This window comes from Homo sapiens, chromosome 1, assembly GCF_000001405.40.
Source record: "Homo sapiens chromosome 1, GRCh38.p14 Primary Assembly".
Classification (NCBI taxonomy): Eukaryota; Metazoa; Chordata; class Mammalia; order Primates; family Hominidae; genus Homo; species Homo sapiens.
In genome coordinates this window covers 248392487-248415443 of record NC_000001.11, presented here as the reverse complement: position 1 = coordinate 248415443, position 22957 = coordinate 248392487, and the positions used below count along the sequence as shown (strand labels likewise).

The 22957-nt window shown below is 38.0% G+C and overlaps 1 protein-coding gene across 1 annotated transcript, besides 1 other annotated feature; it reads right to left on the bottom strand.

Moving 5' to 3' along the window:
• OR2T1 (olfactory receptor family 2 subfamily T member 1) lies at positions 7424–12396 on the bottom strand. Its single transcript, NM_030904.2, has 2 exons — positions 12199–12396; positions 7424–9329 (listed from the first exon to the last, which is right to left on the bottom strand). Exon 2 carries the CDS (start codon positions 9294–9296, stop codon positions 8340–8342), a length of 957 nt encoding a protein of 318 aa, NP_112166.2. The 5' UTR covers positions 9297–9329; positions 12199–12396; the 3' UTR covers positions 7424–8339.
• Positions 14990–15190: a silencer, noted in NCBI's record as "peak838 fragment used in MPRA reporter construct". NCBI's record gives its function as "represses an SCP1 promoter by STARR-seq MPRAs in K562 erythroleukemia cells {active_cell/tissue: K562}" and the evidence as "EXISTENCE:reporter gene assay evidence [ECO:0000049][PMID:32103011]".

The window sequence follows — 22957 nt, the reverse complement described above, 5'->3', positions numbered from 1 at the left end:
ACATCTTTTTTATCCCTTTCTTGTCACTTTTTTTGTGGTCTAGTATTTAAATATTGAAATTCTCTTGTCCTATTCTTTAATTCTGTTAACACATAATCTGCGTATCAATAATTCTGAAACCTGTCTTCACATCTACCACCTAAAATGATATCTAGACTAAAATATCTAGCTGCTTGACATTTTTATTTAGATATTCAATAGACATTTCAAACTTAACATACTCATAATAAAGCTCTTAATCTTATACACACACCCCACATTCCCCTGCAGATGACCGTGCTCATAAGAAAGAATATTGATGCATAAAATCATTGGATTGAGGTAAAACAGAGCTTTTTGGGGTTTTTTTCTGTGTTTTCTTTATTTTTATTATTATACTTTAAGTTTTAGGGTACATGTGCACAATGTGCAGGTTAGTTACATATGTATACATGTGCCATGTTGGTGTGCTGCACCCAGTAACTCTTCATTTAACATTAGGTATATCTCCAAATGCTATCCCTCTCCCCCCGACCCCACAACAGGCCCTGGTGTGTGATGTTCCCCTTCCTGTGTCCATGTGTTCTCATTGTTCAATTCCCACCTATGAGTGAGAACATGCGGCGTTTGGCTTTTTGTCCTTGAAATAGTTTGCTGAGAATGATGGTTTCCAGCTTCATCCATGTCCCTACAAAGGACATGAACTCATCATTTTTTATGGCTGCATAGTATTCCATGGTGTATATGTGCCACATTTTCTTAATCCAGTCTATCATTGTTGGACATTTGGGTTGGTTCCAAGTCTTTGCTATTGTGAATAGTGCCCCAATAAACATATGTGTGCATGTGTCTTTATAGCAGCATGATTTATAATCCTTTGGGTATATACCCAGTAATGGGATTGCTGGGTCAAATGGTATTTCAAACAGAGCTTTTTGAAAATGTTAAAGTTTTGAAAACATTACCCAAAGATTATTTTTGAAATGCCAAGATGCATAACCCAAAAGGAAAGTTCATAAGATGTATCCATCACTAGCCATTAAAAAGTACTTTAAATCAATAAAAGTATCTATCGCTAGCCTTTTCTAGGTGTTGACTTATGATATCTTCCGTCATTGAGAGTCAAATATAGTAATAACTGCTTTCTAAATGCTACTGCTTTTTGCTTTTTTTTTTCTTTTCTGAGACAAGGTCCCACTCTGTCATCCAGGCTGGAGTGCAGGGCACGATCATGGCTCACTACAGACTCAACTTCTCGGGCTCGATAAATGCTACTGCTTTCTGAAAGGCAAAACTCATCATGCTGTTATCATCTCTTGCTTAACTTGATACAATCAAAGCACAATATTCCTCAAAAACATAAAAAATAAATTAAAAGTATAGAAATGTCTTCACTCCATTTCAACAAATAGATCCACTATCAATTTTGTTGCTCAAGCTTAAAACCTGGGCACTCTTCTGGATTCTATTTCCTTCAGACCTCATACTTTATTAATCATCGCCTGTTATTCACACCTTCAAGTGCATCCCAGTGATACTACTTCCTGTCACCTCTACTCCTAAAACTCTAACCCGTGCTGAAAATGTCTCTCTTTAGAACGCAGGAAAAGCCTCCTAACAGGTGTTTTTAGTTCATTCTTTATAAAGCAGCTAGAGTAGCATTCTCAGAATGTTATTTATAATCTGTCTTTTCTTTGTTTGAAACCTCTCAATGGTTTTTCTTTGCAAATTAAGTCAAGTTCCAACTTCTGTACCACAGCATGAAAGGCCTTTTCTGATCTGGTCACTACCCATGTTTTCAGACTTGCCTTCTCCACCCATTACTCATTCGGGATCTGCATCACTGTCAAGCCTTCTGAACACATCATTGCCATTTCAGAACATTGGCCCGTGTTATTCTTCCTACCTGGAAGGCTCTACACCTGGATCTTTCTATTCCTGTCTCTTTTTTTTTCTCAAATACAGCCTCAGAAACCTTCTTGAACACCATATCTAGGGTAACCCTCCACCTACCTCCACTATCCCATTATACTATTGTATTTACCACATTATTATGAGTTATATTTTAAATTTGTATCAGAGCATAATGTACACACAAAAAGGTATTCAATATACAAAAAATTTAGACTTGATTGATTTTCTTAAACTGAACATTGGGTATACAATCAGCATTGACATCAATAAACAGAAATTCAAGAACATGCTCATGCATCCTTCCAGCCACCGTCCCTCCAACAGTATAGGATAGTTTTGCTGGATCTGTACTTCATATGAAGGTACTCTTTTGTAGCTTGCTTCATTAGTTCAACAATATGTTTGTAAGTAGTATTAGAACATCTATTCTTATTTTATGAACATGTCACAATTTATCCATTTCGCCATCAGTGGGCTTTTGATTGCTTCCATATTTTATGTTACCATATGTCTTTTGGTAACATTATGCATACATGTTATCTGTTTTTTGTCATTGTAACAGCATATCTGAAGCTGAGTAATTTAAATAAAAGAGATTTATTTAGCTCACATTTCTGCAGGATATACAAGAAAAATGGTGCCAGTATCTGCTCAGTTTCTGGTAAGGGCCATGTGCTTGGTCAAAACATGGTAAAGGTCACAGAGTAAAGCAGATATGTGTGAAGAGAGAGGCAAAAACCAGAGGAACATCTGGCTTTATAGCCACCCACTCTCCTAGGAACTAATCTATTTTTATAAGAACTAATCCAGTCTTGCCAGAGTGAGAACCCACTCACTATCACAAGAATGGCATGAAGCCATTCATGAGGGATATGACCCCATGACCCAAATATCTTCCACTAGGCACCACCTCTCAACACCACCACATCGGGAATCAAATTTCGACATGTATGTTGGTAGAGACAAACCATATCCAAACCATAGCATTCTGCCTCTGACTCCAAAAACCAATGGCTTTCTTACATACAAAAATACAATCATTCCATCCCAGTAGTCCCTAGAGTCTTGACTTGTCCCAGCACCAACTCAAAAGTTTAAAGTACAAAGTCTCATTTGAGACTGAAGGCAAGCTCCTTCCAACTATGAGCCTGTGAAAGCAAAGCAAGTTATTTACCTCCACATTACAATGGTGGGACAGACATTTGGTAAACATTCTCATTCCAAAAAGGAGAATTTGACCAAAAGAAAGAAATGACAGACCCCATGTAAGTCTGAAACCCAGCAGGGCACACATTAAATCTTAAAGTTCCAGAAAAATCTTACTGGACTCCATGATCCTGGGCACACTGGTGTAAGGGATGGGCTCCCAAGGCCTCAGGCACCTCCGCCCTTATGGAATTGCTGGGCATAGTCACATATCTGCTCTCACAAATTGGAGTTCTATGCCTGCCACTTCTCCAGGCTGAGATTGCATGCTGCTGGTGGCTGCAACATTCTGGGGCCCCACTCCCATGCTGCCCCCATGGTTCTGTTAACCATTGCCCCAGTAGGGACTCTCTGTGGCAGCTCTGGGCTCACATTTCCAGTGGGAATTGCCTTAGTAGAGGCTCTTGGCAGTGGCTCCACCCCTGTGGCAGTTTTCTGACTGGACTTTCAGGATTTCCAAGCTGTCCTGTGAAATCTAGGTAGCACATGTAATATCTCTATGGCTCTTTTAATTTTGGCACTTGCAGATTACCATGTGGAAGCTATGGCTTACCATTTGGGCTCTCTGGAGTAGCCAGAGACACATATGGGGCTTTTTGAGCCACTGCTAGATGTACAAAGCAGGGTCCTGATGCAACACAGGGCACCAGGCTTAGGATAGTCTTTCAAAATAACTCTGCTTTCTCAGGCCGTGGGACTGCAAAGAGAAGGATAGCATGGAAGAGCTTTGAAATGCCTTTGGGATTTTGTTCCCTTTGTTTGGACTATTAGCACCTGGCTCCTTTTCATCCACACTAATCTCTTTAGCAAAGGGTCTCTTGGCTGTACCTCTGGTTTCCTCTCTTGAAAACACGAATTCTTTACCACATAGCTGGGCTGCAAATTTTCCAAAAATGTACACTCTGCTTCCCCTTTTCCTGACAGTTAACCTTATGCAGTTAGAAGTAGCTACATAGCAGCATGAGAGCTTTTATGCTTAGAAATTTCTTCCACCAGATATTCTAGTTCATTACTCTTAAATTCAGTCTCCCATAAAGTCCTAGGCCATGGACATCATGGACCCAAGTTCTTTGCAACTGTAGAACCAGGTTGACCTTTCCTCCAGTTTGCAGATAAATACTCCTCATTTCCTTCTGAGAACTCATCACAATGGCCTTTACTTGTCTACATTTCTAACAGCATTTTGGCCAGAACCACTAAAACGATTTCTAAAAAGTTGCAAATTTTCTCTTGTCTTTTTATTTTCTCCTGAGCCTTCTCTTTTCCTAAGCCCTCACAATAATTGTCCTTAATGCACCCTTCATGGTAATGCAGTTTTTTTTAGCCCCCTCCTCCAAACTCTTCCAAATTCTGCCCATTACCCAATTCCAAGCCACTTCTATATTTTCATGTATCTTTATAGCAACACCCCACTCCCTGGTACCAATTTTCTGTCTTAGTCCATTTTATGTTGCTATTGAAGAATACCTGAGACTGAGTAATTTATTAAAAAAAAAGAAGCTGATTTTGACTATCGTTCTGAAGGCTGAGAAGTATGAGAAACATGGGGCCAGCATCTGTTTGACTTCTGGTGAGGGACAAATGCTAGCTCAAAACATGGTGGAGAAGGTCAAAGGTGGAGCAAAACCTGAAGGATGTACTGGCTTTATAACAACCCACTCTCCCAGAAATGAATTAATTCCTCCAAGAGGTAGTTCAGACTTGCCAGGGTGAGGACTCGCTCACTAACACAAGAATAGCACCAAGCCATTCATGAAGGGTCTGCCTCCATGACCCAAACATCTCCCACTAGGCCTGACCTCCCAACAACACCATATTGGGGATCAAATTTCAACATAAGCTTTGGTGGGGGCAAAATAAACCAAATTCAAACTATAATATATCTATTAAGAATTCACTCAAGAATGGACCTGCAGGGGTGCAGGATATGGATATGTTTAGCTTTAGTCACAGCTACCACACACAACATGGTGGATATATGTGTTTTTTTGCTTGCTCACTTGTTGTATTTATTTTTGTTCATTGTCTTTTCCACACTGGAATGCAAATTTCTCAAGTGCAATTGCTTTGTTTGTCTTGGTCACAGCTATAAAGCATGAATGAATGAATGAGGAAGCTGTATCTGAAGAATATAGTGTTCTATCAATCACATTTCTTGAAATTCTGCCATCTAGTCTATTAATTAGAATTATTATCCTACAGAATTTTCTTGCTTCCCTGAAACTTACTGTTCTTACATGTAAACTATGACTCATAACAAGTTCTGCTTCCTTTGTTATGAAGTTGTTAAAGGATGATGAACCTGGCAAGGCACATAAATTTTTAAGTTTTAGATAGAGATTGATGAATATGATTATGATTATGACCATGATGATGTTTGTATAATGATAACCCCACATGGTGAATTATAATTTTGAGAAAGTCACCCTTTTGATGATGAGTGAACTCTTTATATAATTGGGATACTAACCATGTATCGGCACATGCTTTCTTTCCTCAATTCCTGGATCCATATGGAACATGAATATTAACTATGCCCTAATACTATTACATGGCTGATATATGCTTAATCTTGATGATCTCATGAGATATTTGAAAAGCATTTTACTGCCTTCCTAACCCATCCCCCTGTATGTTTCTCCAGTGTTTTAGAAACCCCGTTACCCCTCAGATATGCAGTGTTCTCATGATGTCTTTTCTGGGCAATGTCCTTTGCTTTCATCCATTTATTTTAAGTTATCTGACAAATAGTTTTCACTAATGTGTTGCAAAATAAAAAAAGATAAATACCGTACTTTTACTGAAAGTAATAAGCACCTGATTGTAGTGAGTACAATACCTGTTTAAGAAGACTATGTTCAATGACTCTTTCTACCAGCTTGCAGATGGAAACACATTTTTGTGTTTATGGAGCCCTCTTGTATTTATTTAGAATACATGTGAACATGGCAGGAGAAACGGAAGGTATAAGAAAAAAAGAAAAGAGAAGGAAAAGAGATCAAGAGGACGTTTTTTTACATTAGTTTTTTTTTCCCACCAAGTTGAACGCTCTTTGAGGAAAAAAACACATGAAACTGTTTTTCCTCTGCTTCCACACCACACAACAACCAACATATAAGATGTATGGGACCAAATGAGTGGGGGATTTTTGATACACACGAAGTAAACAATCATTTCTGCAGTGGACACCACTTGGTGTCCTCCAAATCAATTCCATTCGGCCACTATCTACAGTCAAATGCGCTAGCCCAAGCTAAACTCCTATGACCATCTGCCACTATCTACAGTCAAATGCGCTAGCCCAAGCTAAACTCCCGTGACCATCGGCCACTATCTACAGTCAAATGCGCTAGTCCAAGCTAAACTCCCGTGACCATCTGCCACTATCTACAGTCAAATGCTCTAGCCCAAGCTAAACTCCCGTGACCATCTGCCACTATCTACAGTCAAATGCTCTAGCCCAAGCTAAACTCCCGTGACCATCTGCCACTATCTACAGTCAAATGCTCTAGCCCAAGCTAAACTCCCGTGACCATCTGCCACTATCTACAGTCAAATGCTCTAGCCCAAGCTAAACTCCCGTGACCATCTGCCACTATCTACAGTCAAATGCTCTAGCCCAAGCTAAACTCCCGTGACCATCTGCCACTATCTACAGTCAAATGCGCTAGCCCAAGCTAAACTCCCGTGACCATCTGCCACTATCTACAGTCAAATGCGCTAGCCCAAGCTAAACTCCCGTGACCATCTGCCACTATCTACAGTCAAATGCTCTAGCCCAAGCTAAACTCCCGTGACCATCTGCCACTATCTACAGTCAAATGCTCTAGCCCTAGCTAAACTCCCGTGACCATCTGCCACTATCTACAGTCAAATGCGCTAGCCCAAGCTAAACTCCCGTGACCATCTGCCACTATCTACAGTCAAATGCGCTAGCCCAAGCTAAACTCCCGTGACCATCTGCCACTATCTACAGTCAAATGCTCTAGCCCAAGCTAAACTCCCGTGACCATCTGCCACTATCTACAGTCAAATGCGCTAGCCCAAGCTAAACTCCCGTGACCATCTGCCACTATCTACAGTCAAATGCGCTAGCCCAAGCTAAACTCCCGTGACCATCTGCCACTATCTACAGTCAAATGCTCTAGCCCAAGCTAAACTCCCGTGACCATCTGCCACTATCTACAGTCAAATGCGCTAGCCCAAGCTAAACTCCCGTGACCATCTGCCACTATCTACAGTCAAATGCTCTAGCCCAAGCTAAACTCCCATGACCATCTGCCACTATCTATCTGGAGATAGTGTCAGATCCCACAGGGTGAGGGCTCAGTCCCATAACACTGCCTTCCATTTCCAGTGCCAATTAAAAGCCCCAAGTTGTCCTGTACTTTTGACCAAGTGATTGTAAATTGGGGATCCCACGGCCCTTCCTTGGGTTCAGTTAGTTTACTATAAAGGCTCACAGAATTCAAGGAAACACTTACCTATGTTTACCACTTGTTATAAATGATATTACAAAGGATACACAGAAACAGTCAGATGAAAAGACACAGAGGGTGAGGTCTGGAAGAGCATAAGAGCTTCTGCCTCTGTGGAGTTGGGACATGCCACCCTCCAGGCACATGGATGGGTTCTTATCACCCTCCTGTTCAGCTTCATGAGTTTAGCTGTCCAGAAGTTTTCTGTCCTCTCCTTTTGGCCCTTATATGGAGACTTTATTGAATAGTCATGATTGAAGCATGGACAATTGCACAGAAATATGATTGAACAAAGAGTATGACCTAATGTTGATAGAGTGAGTGGGGACACCCACGAAGGCCTGTCTGATCGGATTTTTCTTGGCCTCTCTGTATAGCATTCCCTCCCCCAGGGTATGAGAGAAGACCTCTTTTGAAACAGAGGTCTTATGACATACAGTCAGACAAGGTAGTCAGATAATTTCTTTGTGACCAAAAGCGGGGAAAGATTGGATTATATTTTTAGTTTCTAAGGCTTTCTTTGGGGAGAAAAAGAAGCAGGTGAAAAGAGGGAAGGCGAAGATCACAGAGAGAGATTCAGTTTTCTGAGGCCTAAAAAACCACAACATCATAACTATGGAGTTATGAACCAGAAACCCTAGCCAAAAAACCAATATTGTAATCATATGACTCCCTCCCTTTTTGCTTCATCTTTTGATGAAAGCACAGCCACAGTGACCACAGAGTCCCCCATTTACCATATGCATGGGAAGGAGTCGACTGTCAAAAGACACCTCCTGACACCCTTTGAGGACCCTTGAACCTCCCCAAGGCCCTCTTCAGAGCTCCAGTCACATCCTTGTTTCTAAGGCTGTAGATGAGGGGGTTCAGCATGGGTGTGAGAATGGTGTAAAACACAGAGAGGACTTTGTCCTGGGCTGGCTTGTGGTAAGAATGTGGCAGCATGTAGGTGTACATGGCAGCCCCGTAGAACAAGGACACCACAGTCATGTGGGATGAGCAAGTGGCAAATGCCTTCTTCCTGCCCTCCACTGAGCTCATGCACTGAACTGTAGTCAGGATTCGGGCATAGGAAGCAAGGACTACAGAGAAAGGAATCAGCAGCATCAAAACACAGCACACATACATCACTGTCTCGTAGAGGGCTGTGTCTGCACATGCCAACTTCAGGACTGCTGGTGCCTCACAGAAGAAGTGGTTAATCTCCCGGGAATTGCAGAAGGGAAAGCTCATGGTGATGGGGGTTAGGAGGAAGCCATCCAAAGAGCCCCCAAACCAGGAACCTGCTATAATCATCCAACAGACCCGGCGGCTCATGAGGACAGGGTATCTCAGAGGGTTGCAAATGGCCACATAGCGGTCATAGGCCATGAGGCCCAGCAGGAAGAATTCAGCTCCCACAAGGGTAAGGTAGAGGAAGTGTTGAGCTGTGCACCCCACAAAGGAAATGGTCCTTTGATCCAGCAGGTAATTAACCAGCATCTTAGGCACAATAGTGGAAATATACATCATGTCAATTAAGGAAAGGTGGCTGAGGAGGAAGTACATGGGTGTATGAAGGCGCAAATCTGTTTGGATCAGGAAGATCATAACCCCATTGGCCATCAGTGCGGTGAAGAAGATGATAGAGATGATGGCAAAAATAAGACCTGAGGTTTCCTTTCTGTTGAACAGCCCCATGAAAGTGAAGTCTGTAGAGGATGTGTTGTACTCTTCCATTGATCCTACAGTTGTGCCGATATAAGGTAATATCTTCCAAATAAGATGATAGCATTCCCAGGGCAGTAAAATAACAACATGTGAATTAATTGTTAGGCAGCAAACTTTTAAAAGTGGGAAGAAAACATTTAAAAAATAGTATTCTTGCCACATTGAGACTGATATCTAGCATTTACTCTATTCCAGAAGGTTTTTAAATAAAATTGGTCATTATTAATCAATAATTGCTTAAATACATTGGAGAAGATGAGGTCAGCAGATGATACTGTATTACGATGATGTGCATAACAATGCCTAAGGTTGCATACCATGCTACACAGCAGTTACGCATACCATGGTCCGGTGTATGCGTGTGTGTATTACCTTAGATGCATTTAAATTTGTATTATTATTTAATGTGTCTTTGTATGGTTGGCATCACCACTACTTTCAAAACATCTTTGGTGCTGGCTGTGAGTAGCTCATGTCTTCCATTTAGCTACAAGTACGGGTTATCTACCATTTGGGTCACAAGTCACTGTCTACATCATGAGAGTATACTTGGTGTTAGTTTATCCATGTCCCAGACAAATTATAAGGGATGAAATAAAAAGGGCAACAGAAACTCAACGGAAACTACTCTTGCAAATTTAGACATAAAAATTATTCTCAATACAAGAGGCATTCAGTGTTGTAGAATTTTATTTATTTTCAATTTTAAGATGATGAGGAATTAGCATTAGGATTATGATTAGCATGACCATTAGAAATCAGTATTAGCAATTAATATTCAGAGGAAATACCACAGGGACGTAAACATTGAGCTATAATTCACTGATTATTTTTGGAAATTAGAATTTTTCATAGTTCTTCATAATTAAGAAAAACTGAGTGTGTTTTATACAATTTCAGGTTACAATAAAGAAACAAATATCCACAACAAACTTCATGGAAGTAAAGGATGATTTTTCACATTGTTTAAGGCTAAAAGTGTCCCAAGAAAGACATTTTACCAACATATTTGGGAGTAAAATTGATCAAACTAGTCTAGTGCTCCTCTAAATATTCTAAAAATATTAGCATTTGAGTCAATTGCCCAGAAAAAGAAGTTGCTATTGAGAATAATGATGATGACATCGTGGAGTTTATTTTGCAAAGTGTCATGCTAAGAAGTACTTTGTAACTATTGACTCCCTGATCTTCACAATAAAACTAAGAAGTGAGGAGCTATAAAAGCCCCTCTCACCAATGACAGCATTGAGGGTAACGTGTTGGTGGTCACGGGGTCTGTTAGTGCCAGGAGTGTTTGGACTAGATAGTCTCAATTCATTATATATTCATACACATGGCATTGTGTATATAGGAAGCTTTATATGGGAATAGCAGCTAGACATTTACTGTAATTAGCAAATAAAATGTACCAAGCATGTGAACCTGCTAAATTGTTAACAATGTAATAACTAATGTGACTAATGAAAATTAGTCATACTTGAGAGTAGATCACATAAATTATTATAATCAGGATTGCTGTTTTATGGATATAAACTATGTGTACAGATATACACACATATATAAAAATGTACACATAGATACATCATATGTATATTTTATATATATATATAATGTATATTTTGCTAATTCAGAATATTTGGTGTCAGGTTTTATACATTTTTATGATACTATGTACAATGTCATCATTACTTACAACCTCCCTCATTTTACTTTTTTTAGGTTTCATTAATGGAACCTATAAAAATATATTTCTAAAGGGAAACTCCTCTCCAGTTTATGTCGCAGCCTAAATATTAGCAGTATTTCAGCTACTTCCACACTTCCTACATTTTCGGTTTGACTTTTATCATGCGATAAGACACCAGAAACAGAGGGAAAATCATGTGCTGCTTCACAAAGTCAAACAGTGGTCTCTGCTGTCTGTTCACCCTTACTCCCATTTTATACACACACACACACACGTATATGTAATAGCACAGGGACATACATATTGAGGTATAACTCACCGATGATTTTTGGAAATTGGAATTTTTCCGTAGCTCTGGCAATTAAGAAAAACTGAGGGACTGTTTTATACAATTTCAGGTTACAGTAAAATCCACAACAAACTTCAAGAATATAAAGGATGATCTTTTATCCATTATATATATATATATAAGTATATACATTCATAATTTCCTCCCATAGATTTATATATGTATATATGTAACTCTTCTGTGGTTCTAGCTTTTTCTATGGCCAGCTAGCCCTGCAAACCTAGCAATGCAAAGGGAAATTCTAAAGTCTACTCCATTTTGCAGCCAAGTGGCCTTACTTTTCCTATCTGCATACAAAAGATCTAATTTATCAGAGAACAAGCCCTCCTCAAAGTAAATTATGATTTTAAGTAAAATGTTTTGTTAAATTTATTATCTGCTCTCTCACTAGAGTGAGCACAATAAGTAACTATACTTGTTGAATATCTCCTGGGCATAGATCATACAGCTTTGCTATGGTTTAGTACACATAAAAATAATCAGAAAATGTTTGGAATGATTCTGTGACTTTATATAGGCATTTGTTTCTGAAATGATGAAGGCAACATACAGTAAAACAAAATTTAGAATTAAATGAATTGAGTTCTTCCTCTGGTCACGACATTAATTAATTCTGTGACCTTGGATTATCTTCCTAAACACCCTGAGCCTCAGTATCTGCTTATATTAATTGATATAATAAACATTCAGGGTTACTTTAAGAATCAAATAAGAAATTTATAGTTACAGGTGCAAATATTTTATACAATACCAAGTAAAATGTAAGATATCTGCAAATTATTTCAAAACTATTGGTAAATGGGTGCAAATTCTCAATCTCTCATTTAAGCAATCTACATATTCAACTAAAATCTATGAATTTAAATTGCAAATACCTCCTGATCTTCAGAAAAGGTCTGTAAACCCAGGTGCTCCCAGTGAAGTTACATCAGCAGTTAAAGTCTATCTTTTCCCCCAAGTATCCTTTGACTTGAAAGGATTGTTACTTAGTAGAAATTCTCAGAAAAAACTGTGCATTTCAATTAAGCTTGCAGAACATCTAAATGCCTTTGAAGAGCAGAAGTATGCTTGGCCTGCAAATTTTGAGAAAATTATTTTTAAAAAGTTAGTGGATAAAATAGACATAATTTTATTGGATAAAATTGTCTTTTAGGCCTACCTAAACTATTTTTTATTGCATAATACCGTACACCAAGAGATAAATCAATGCATTTATGTTATCCTGACATTTGTAAATATTCTGTACTATTTTATAAGGCGTGCATGTTGGTTGAGTAGGGATGGCCGCAAATATTTTCCTCCCACATCACTACAGTTTGAAGGTAGGACACAATGCTTGCCCAGGACTGTGATGATCTCCAAGCCCATCCTTTAAATCAAGTGACAAGATAATTCCTAACTTGTAAGTTGCAGCCTTTGCTTGCTTCCCTATGACCACTGGTGAAGTTTCTGCCAAAGAAAAGAGCAAGCTCCATGCTCCTTCAATGCAGCAGCCTTGTTAGGAAGCTCTGCATTAGCTTAAATTAAAGCTGCTTCATGCAGGATTCTTCCTTGCCTTCTGAATCTGCTTGGAACCAGTTTTCTCTCTTTGCAACATTCAACATTTCATAATGTGAATATGACTACAAGGTTTTCTGTCCTCCTTCTCTATACCGGTCACACTTCTCCAGTTATTTTATGCATTCATGTATGAATTTTTTTCCAAAGTGCTCAACTTCCAGGTATTTACTGGGGATAGCTTTTGCAATGTCTATTTTAGAATATAATACCTCAATTTCAACAGATTACTGTAGGTGTGGTTTTTCCTGTACAGAATACACTGGCAATATTACTTTTCTGTTGTTATCGCAGACACATTGAGTCATTACATACACATTCAAACTTACAGTTACCTTTTCACATGAGAAGTTCTCAAGACAGGTCAATACAGTGCTGTGCAATTTTGAGACTAAATACAAAAATATATGTTCCTAGTTTTTCTCCGTGTTCCTAAATTCTGTTTAGTATTTCAAAAAGTTGGAATCATTAAGAATGAACTCATATTGAAATAATAATCATACAATTATTAGATAATAAAGCACTAATGTACTCTGACAATTTTAGAGTAACTTAGAACCACATTCTTCAACCCACACACACCTCCTACAAGACCCATAAAGAGACTACACACTAGAATAAACCCCTCTACTAGAGAGACCTGTTATTTCTGATGAGAGTTTATTTTATGCTTGGTGTGATGGACACTAAAAAAATGCCTGTGAATCACTGGCAAAGTGGATCTGAGAAATCCAGGTGTCTGCACATTCTTTGAAATCATTGTGGAAAAAAGGATTTTTAAAATGCTTGCACGTTTGACAGTCAGGCAACGAGTCTATGTTGGAAATTAGAATGCCTGTAGGAGTCTGCCTTACGTCAGCTCTGTGTCTTTAATGCAAGCATCTTCAACTCTCCAATCATCAGTGTTCTTATCTGTAAAACGAGGGGAAGGAGATAAAGACAATGCACTGTTCAGAGATTCAGGAAGCCTGGTTCATAGTCTGTACTTTAGAAACTAGGAGTAAGTACAGGTTTTTCCTTTAGATCTTTTGTGCCTTTCGAACAGTATTGTCCTTATCCTATCTAATTCATAAGACTAAAGTTTGCTTAAATTATTTTTTTAAGAAAAGCAGCAAACATTTAAGAAAAGATTCTTTGCACTGTTACACTCAATGGCATCCTTCTACCTGAGATTTACAACACTCACTCCATGTAATTCCCACAGATAATCAGACAGGCACTCTTTTTCTCAATGCACTTGCATTTGGCATGGAGGGAATGGGACAGTCATTCCTCATTATACTTGTGCCTGAGATTTCCAGCCCAGGAGTTGCAGACAACTCTGCCTCAACTTTCTTAGATCCAGTTTACGTAAATCTTGTTTATGTCATATAAAGAACGTAAATTCAGTCAGACCACAATGAAATGTTCTGGCAACCCGGTCATTTGCATATGCACCAAATATTTAAAGTGCTACTATGAGGAGGAGTCAGTCTAGGTGCTCATCAGCATTTGACTTCTTACCTGTGAAATTCCTGCATAATTCCAAAAGACCTGGATTTTCATTAAGGGAATAGGAAGAGTGGAACAAACAAAGTGAGTCTAAGTACAGCAGAAGCTCCTAGATGATCCATTTTAATTGCCTAATTTTACTGAGGGATGTTGCATCATTTAGACAAAACCTTAACTATTAAATCCAATTATTTAATTTTCAAAGAGCTTCATAAAGTAATGTATTCATGTGTTCTATATGTTCTCACATTTCTCATATCTCCTCTCATCCATGCAATCTGAATGCCACCCACTCAAAACAGCATGTGACACACATCACTAAGTAGACATCAAGGAATACAATATACATAATTTTCATAAAAATTATCCAAATATCTAATTTTATTCCAAACTGTATTCCAACAAAAGATGATTATCTGTCACTTACAGAGAGCTGAATCTGTCAGGATAGCCATTCAGAGTAGTAGATAGAGAAGGTTATGTATAATTTAGTAAATCAAAAACTTACTGGCAAACTACAACAACTTTATGTAACTAAACAAGCGATGAAGAACTAAGACTTTTTAGAAGGTTGAAGGTGATATTTTGCTAGAAGGAAAAATGATTAGATTTAGTAGACTTAAATTCTCATCTAACTTATACCAAGAAGAAAACACACAAAGCAATTCATAGTCATTGGTACCCACAACAGGAAATCCTTCAACATCTAGGCCATCTGGATGCCAAAGTGCTGTCAGCATGTTACCCTGAAGATCCAGTATGCATAGATTTCTAATTTGGATTTATGAACTTGGCATGACTGAAGGTATCCTTAGCAACTGATGATGGAGTTAGGACAAAGAGAGACATGCAACAAGTTTATTAGGAGCTATTTTTGTAATATAACTCTGCAGAAGGAAGTATTATTAAGCCAAACAAATAAATGCCACCTTAGAAATCCTTGAAACAATTTGCATTGCCAGGACAAATTGCATAAATTCTCCAGCCTTCTAGAAACATGTAATAATGTCTATTTCTTATCTTTACAGGGAAATATTTAGCAACTAAACAGGTCTGAAAAACTAAAAATGCAGGAAGAAAGCAGCAGACCAGTAAAGAGTGCCGAATTATTCTGGGTGTTCTGCTTTTGAGATCCCTGGAGCGACAAGGGAGCGCCCAGATTGAAAAGAGGCATGAGTTTAAATAGTTTTCTTTGAGGGACATGGAATGAAGTGCTCTGGGAAAGAGCAAGTTTCTTCCTTTTGGATCTCAGGAGACTTTAATGAGACGGACTTATTACAGCTAATGAGAAGTGTATTGATGGGGTGGAAAACAGTGAACATTTAAGTGACATGGGCTTTGAGAACATGTTTCAACTCCTGTGCTTCAAAGTGTAAAACTGATTTCCTGAGTGTTTCATCAGAAAGTTCTGCCAGCAGCTCTTCCTCACAGAGAAATGTGGGAACAAATGTGGAAAGCCATTAAAAAGATAAAAAGTAGCTTTATTTCTATTATATTTTAATAACATAACATCTGTTATGTTTGTTGGTAGTTTAATAATTATTATTTTATTTGAGCATAAAGGTAACGCATACCCATCGGGAAAAACATAATACCAGATAGGGTTATCGAAAACACATCATAGAGATGATTATCCTTACAAAATTGCATTTATACTGTATGTGTTTGTTTGTGTGTATGTTCGTGGGTATGTGTGTGTATGTACCAGTAAACTACAAGAGCTTTATGTAACTAAACAAGAGGTAGAGAACCAACAGAGAGACACATGCAGAAACTTAAACACTATAAATAGATATGGCATTTACACAACAACATATATGTGTGTGTGATGAGTGTCTGTGGGTTAACATGTAATTCCACAATTTGCATTGTTCACAAAATACAACATAAAAAGTGCCCCGATGTGAAATATTCTCCCAAACGTAGCATGCACTATCCACAAAGTACTATACTTTATGGATATGCTCAATATTATTTAATTAATGCTCCATTTTTATAACATACATACAGTTTTAATTCAGGGGACTAAAAAATAATGTGCTGATTAAATCCTTATGTCTAATTTGAGTATAGATTTTGGAAGTTTTCTTCATCGACTTTTCCTCAGTCAATATTATTTAATTCATTTGTGTGAATATTTTTAAAGTTTTGATTTTGTTAAGTTGCACCTCAAAAATATTATCATTTTTTATATTATCAATTCACATCTATATATCAATCATTTCATCTATCTATAAATAAATAAACACAAACACACAGATCTGGAAATTCTGATGTAAAAGGACTAGATTTAATGTTTTCTGTTGTTTTTCCTAGAAAGGTTAATTAATTTTTTTAACTTCAACTTTTTTTTTTTTTTTTTTTGAGACAAGAGTCTCACTCTGTCTTGCCCAGGCTGGAGTGCAGTGGCATGATCTTGGCTCACTGCAGCCTCCACCTCCAGGGTTCAAGTGATTTTCCTGTCTCAGCCTCCCGAGTAGCTGGGACTACAGGCATACACCACCACGCCTGGCTAATCTTGTATTTTCAGTAGTGATGGGGTTTCACCATGTTGGACAGGCTGGCCTCGAGCTCCTGACCTCAGGTGATCCATATGCCTTGGCCTCCCAAAGTGTGGGAATTACAGGCATGCACCACTGCACTCGGCCAACTTTTATATTTTTACTATTCATTTATTTAACTTCTTTTGAAAAAATCATTTTATTTATTTATTTATTCATTCCACTTTATTTGAGATTCATGGCGTACATGTGCCTGAGTGTATTGTGTGATGCTGAGGTTTGGATTATAAATGATCCCATCACTCAAGTAGTGAGCATGGTACCCAGCAGTTTTTCAACACCTACCCCCTCCCTTCCTCCCACCTCTAGGATGTAATGGTTGCCATCTTTGTGGCCAGGTGTTCAATGTTTAGCTCCCATCTGTGAGTAGGAACATCCAGTATTTGGCTTTCTGTTCCTGTGGTAATTCACGTGGGATGATGGCTTCTGGCTCTATCCATATTGCTGCAAAGGACAGGATTTCATACTTTTTTAATGGCTTCATAGTATTTCGTGGTGTATATGTGCCACATTTTCTTTTTTTTTTTTTTTTTTGCCACATTTTCTTTATCCAATCTACCATTGATGGGCAACTAGGTTGATTCCATGTCTTGCTATTGTGAATAGCATGGTGTTGAATATATAAGTACATGGGTCTTTTTGGCATAATGATCTATTTTTCTTTGGGTATATACCCAGTAATGGGATTACTGGGTCAAATGGTAGCTCTGTTTTAAGTTCTTTGAAAAACCTACAAACTGTTTTCTACATTGGCTGAATTGATTTACATTCCCACCAACAGTGTATAAACATTACCTTTTCTCCACAACCTCAGCAGCATCTGTTGTTTTTGGCTTTTTAATAATGACCATTTTGACTGGTATGAGATGGTATCTCATTGTGATTTGATTTGCATTTCTATGATGATTAGTGATGTTGAACATTTTTTCATGTTTGTGGCCAATTATATGTGTTATTTTGAGAAGTGTTTATTCATGGTATTGGCCACTTTTTAATGGCGGTGTTTGTTTTTGCTTGTTGAATTATTTAAGTTCCTTATATACTGCAGATCTTAGACCATTTTGGCATACACAGTTTGTGAATATTTTATCCCTTTCTTTTTTGGATTAAACGAATTTTTAAAATTATACTTTAAGTTCTGGGGTACATGTGCAGAATGTGCAGGTTTGTTACATAAGTATACATATGCCATGGTGGTTTGCTGCACCCATCAACCCATCATCTACATTAAGTATTTCTCCTGATGCTCTCTCTCCCCTTGCCCCCCACACTTCAACAGGCCCCAGTGTGTGATGTTCCACTCCCTGTGCCCATATGTTCTCATTGTTCAACTTCCACTTATGAGTGGGAACATGTGGCATTTGGTTTTCTGTTCCTGTGTTAGTGTGCTGAGAATGATGGTTTCCAACTTCATCCATGTCCCTGCAAAGGACATTGACTCATTTTTTTAAATGGCTACATAGTATTCCATGGCATATATCTGCCACATTTTCTTTATCTAGTCTGACATTGACAGGCATTTGTGTTGGTTCCAAGTCTTTGCTATTGTGAATAGTACTGCAATAAACATACGTGTGCATGTGTCCTTATAGTAGAATGATTTATAATCCTTTGGGTATATACCCAGTAATGAGATTGCTGGGTCAAATGGTATTTCTAGTCCTAGATCCTTGAGGAATTGCCACACTGTCTTCCACAATGGTTGAACTAATTTACATTCCCACCAACAGTGTAAAAGTGTTCCTATTTCTCCATATCCTCTCCAGCATCTGTTGTGTCCTGACTTTTTGATGATTACCATTCTAACTGGTGTGAGATGGTATCTCACAGTGGTTTTGATTTGCATTTCTCTAATGACCAGTGATGATGAGCATTTTATTATATGTTTGTTGGCCATATAAATGTCTTCTTTTGAAAAGTGTCCGTTCATATCCTTTGCCCACTTTCTGATGGGGTTGTTTGTTTTTCTCTTGTACATTTGTTTAAGTTCCTTGTAGATTCTGGATATTAGCCCTTTGTCAGATGGATAGATTGCAAACATTTTCTCCCATTCTATTGGTTGCCTGTTCACTCTCAGGATAGTTTCTTTTGCTGTGCAGAAGCTCTTTAATTTAATTAGATCCCATTTGTCAATTTTTGCTTTTGTTGCAATTGGTTTTGGTGTTTTAGTCATGAAGTGTTTGCTCACGCCTATGTCCTAAATGGTATTGCCTAGGTTTTCTTCTAAGGTTTTTATGGTTTTAGGTCTTACATTTAAATCTGTAATTCATCTTGAGTTAATTTTTGTATAAGGTGTAAGGAAGGGATCCAGTTTCAATTTTCTGCATATGGCTAGCTAGTTTTCCTAACACCATTTATTAAATAGGGAATCCTTTCTCTATTGCTTGTTTCTGTCAGATTTGTCAAAGATTAGATGATTGAGCAACCCCAAGACATGTAATTGTCAGAGTCTCCAAGGTTGAAATGAAGGAAAAAATGTTAAGGGCAGCCAGAGAGAAAGATCGGGTTACCCACAAAAGGAAGCCCATCAGACTAGGAGTGGATCTCTCTGCAGAAACCCTACAAACCAGAAGAGAGTGTGGGTCAATATTCAACATTCTTAAATCAAAAAATTTTCAACCCAGAATTTCATATCCAGCCAAACTAAGCTTCATATGTGAAGGAGAAATAAAATCCTTTACAGACAAGCAAATGCTGAGAGATTTTGTCACTACCACGCCGGCCTTACAAGAGCTCCTGAAGGAAGCACTAAATATGAAAAAGAAAAACCTGTACCAGCCACTGCCCAAACAAACAAAAATGTAAAGGCCATTGACACTATGAAGAAACTGCATTAACTAATGGGCAAAATAACCAGCTTACATCATAATGACAGGATCAAATTCACACATAACAATATTAACCTTAAATGTAAATGGGCTAAATGCCCCAATTAAAAGGCCCAGACTGGCAAATTGGATAGAGTAAAGACCCATCAGTGTGCTGTATTCAGGAGACCCATCTCATGTGCAAAGACATACATAGGCTCAAAATAAATGGATGGAGGAAGATTTACCAAGCAAATGGAAAGCAAAAAAAAAAAAAAAAAAAAAAAATTCAGGGTTTACAATCCTAGTCTCTGATTAAACAGACTTCAAACCAACAAAGATCAAAAAAGACAAAGAAGGACATTACATAATGGTAAAGGGATCAATGCAATAAGCAGAGCTAACCATCCTAAATATATATGCACCCAATACAGGAGCACTCTGATTCATAAAGCAAGTTCTTAGAGACCTACAAAGAGACTTAAACTCCCACACAATAATAGTGGGAGACTTTAACACCCCACTGTCAATATTAGACAGATCAATGAGATAGAAAATTAACAAGGATATTCAGGACTTGCACTTAGCTCTGGACCAAGCAGACCTAATAGACATTTACAGAACTCTCCACCCCAAATCAACAGAATATACATTCTTCTCAGCACCACATAACACTTACTCTAAAATCAACCACATAATTGGAAGTAAAACACTCCTCAGCAAATGCAAAAGAATGAAAATCGTAACAGTCTCTCAGACCACAGTGCAATCAGATTAGAACTCAGGATTACAAAACTCACTCAAAACCACACAACCACATGGAAACTGAACAACCTGCTTCTGAATGACCACTGGGTAATTAATGAAATAAAGGCAGAAATAAGTAAGTTATTTGAAACCAATGCGAACAAAGACACAATGTACCAGAATCTCTGGAACACAGCTAAAGCAGTGTTTAGAGGTAAATTTATAGCACTAAATGCCCACAGGAGAAAGTGGGAAAGATATAAAATTGACACCCTAACATCACAATTAAAAGAACTAGAGAAGCAGGAGCAAACAAATTCAAAAGCTAGCAGAAGACAAGAAATAACTAAGATCAGAGCAGAATTGAAGGAGATAGAGACACAAAAAATCCCTTCAAAAATTCAGTGAATCCAGGAGCTGGTTTTTTGAAAAGATTAACAAAACAGATAGAATGCTAGGCAGACTAATAAAGAAGAAAAGAGAGAAGAATCAAATAGACACAGTAAAATATGATAAAGGGAATATCACCACTGATCTCACAGAAGTACAAACTACCATCAGAGAATACTATAAACATCTCTATGCAAATAAACTAGAAAATCTATTTTATCCCTTTCTATAGGTTGTTTGCTTACCCAGTTGATAGTTTCTTTTGCTGTGCAAAAGCTCTTTAGTTTAATTAGGTCCCTCTTGTCAATTTTTGTTTTGCTTGCAATTGCTTTTGAGGATTTAGTCATACATTATTTCCCATGGCCAATGTTCAGAATGGGGTTTTGTAGGCTTCCTTCTAGGCTTCTTAGTTTGAGTTATTACATTTAAATCTTTATTTCATCATGATTTAATTTTTGTATATAGTGAAAGGCAGGGGTCCACTTTCATTCTTCTGCATATGGCTATCCAGCTATTACAGCACCATTTATTAGGTAGGGAGTCCTTTCCCCATTGCTTGCTTTTGTCAACTTTGTCAAAGATAAACAGGGTGGAGGTCTGTGGCTTTATTTATTTGTTCTCTATTTGATTCAATTTGGTCTATGTGTCTGTTTTTATACCAGTACCATCTGCTTTGGTTACTGGAACATTATAGTATAGTTTGAAGCCAGGTATTGTGATATCTTTAGCATTATTCTTTTTGCTTAGGGTTACTTTGGCTTTTTGGTCTCTTTTTTTGTTTCATCTTAATTTTATAATAGTTGCCTCTAATTCTGTGAAAAATAAAGTCTGTAGTTTTTTCTGAATAACATTAAATCTGTAGATTTCCTTGGGCCACTTTAATGAGATTAATTCTTCCAACCAGTGAGCATGGAATGTTTATCTGTTTGTTTGAGTCTTATTTACTTTCTTTCAGCAGTGTTTTGTGGTTCTCCTAGCAGAGATCTTTCACCTCTGTGGCTAACTGCATTCCTAGATTTTTTATTTTTGTGGCTGTTGTAAATTGAATTGAGTTCTTGATTTGGATCTCAGCTTGAATGTTTTTGGTGTTTAGAAATGTCACTGAATTTTGTATATTAATTTTGTATCCTGAGTCTTTACTTGAAGTTGTTTCTCAGTTCCAGGAATCTTTTGGCAAAGTCTTTTGGTTTTTGGGGGGTATTGAATCATATTATCAGCAAACAGACATAGTTTGCCTTCTTCTTTTCCTTATTTAGATGCTTTTTATTTCTTCTTGCTGTGCAACTGCTATGCTATAAACCATTAGATGGCACTTGGGGGTAAGAGCTGACTACAGCCAATGTGGCACCCCACGTCCTAGAACTCATCCCGAGGCACCCACCTGTGTCCATCCTGGCTAATTAGTTTACATCACTCTTCCCACAGGGCCTACATGTGACCTCAGAAAAATCCTCAGCACAGCAATCCAAAAACCTAGCAGTGATCTTTGCAACTAGCATGTACCAAAAACTCATCAGTTTGACAAAACTACCTTGAATTCTTCTCCTGCATTAATAATTCTTCACATTTCATTTGAGCATCATTGTGAATGCCTGATGCTTGTCAGGCTGAATATCTCTGGATAGGTCCTAGAAGGCGCCAGACTCCTGTTGCTCTATGGTCCCCAATCATTCCACCTACACTCCTTCCCATGCACAGTCCTGCATTTTTTAATGTAAAACCATTGACTTCTTGAGAACATCAATTCATATCAAAAATCACTCTGTGCTACACAACGCCTACATATTTCTAAAGTCTAGTAATAAAATGACATATATTTATGACATTATGAATTTCAGAATAGTGACAAAAACCTTTAGAAATGTTGCTCACGTTCTTCCTCAAGTTTCCAAAAGGGTTGTGCATGACTTGATAGTTGCCGTGTTAATTTTGTTCTGAGGGAATCAACAACCATATCTAGGAGAGTATTCCCTATTCACTTAAGTAGAAACTCAGGCTAAGGCAACAGAGTCATCCAAATGGTAGACTGAGTTACTAGGAGAGCTAAAAGAAAAATTAATCTCTCTTCTAGCCATTACTAA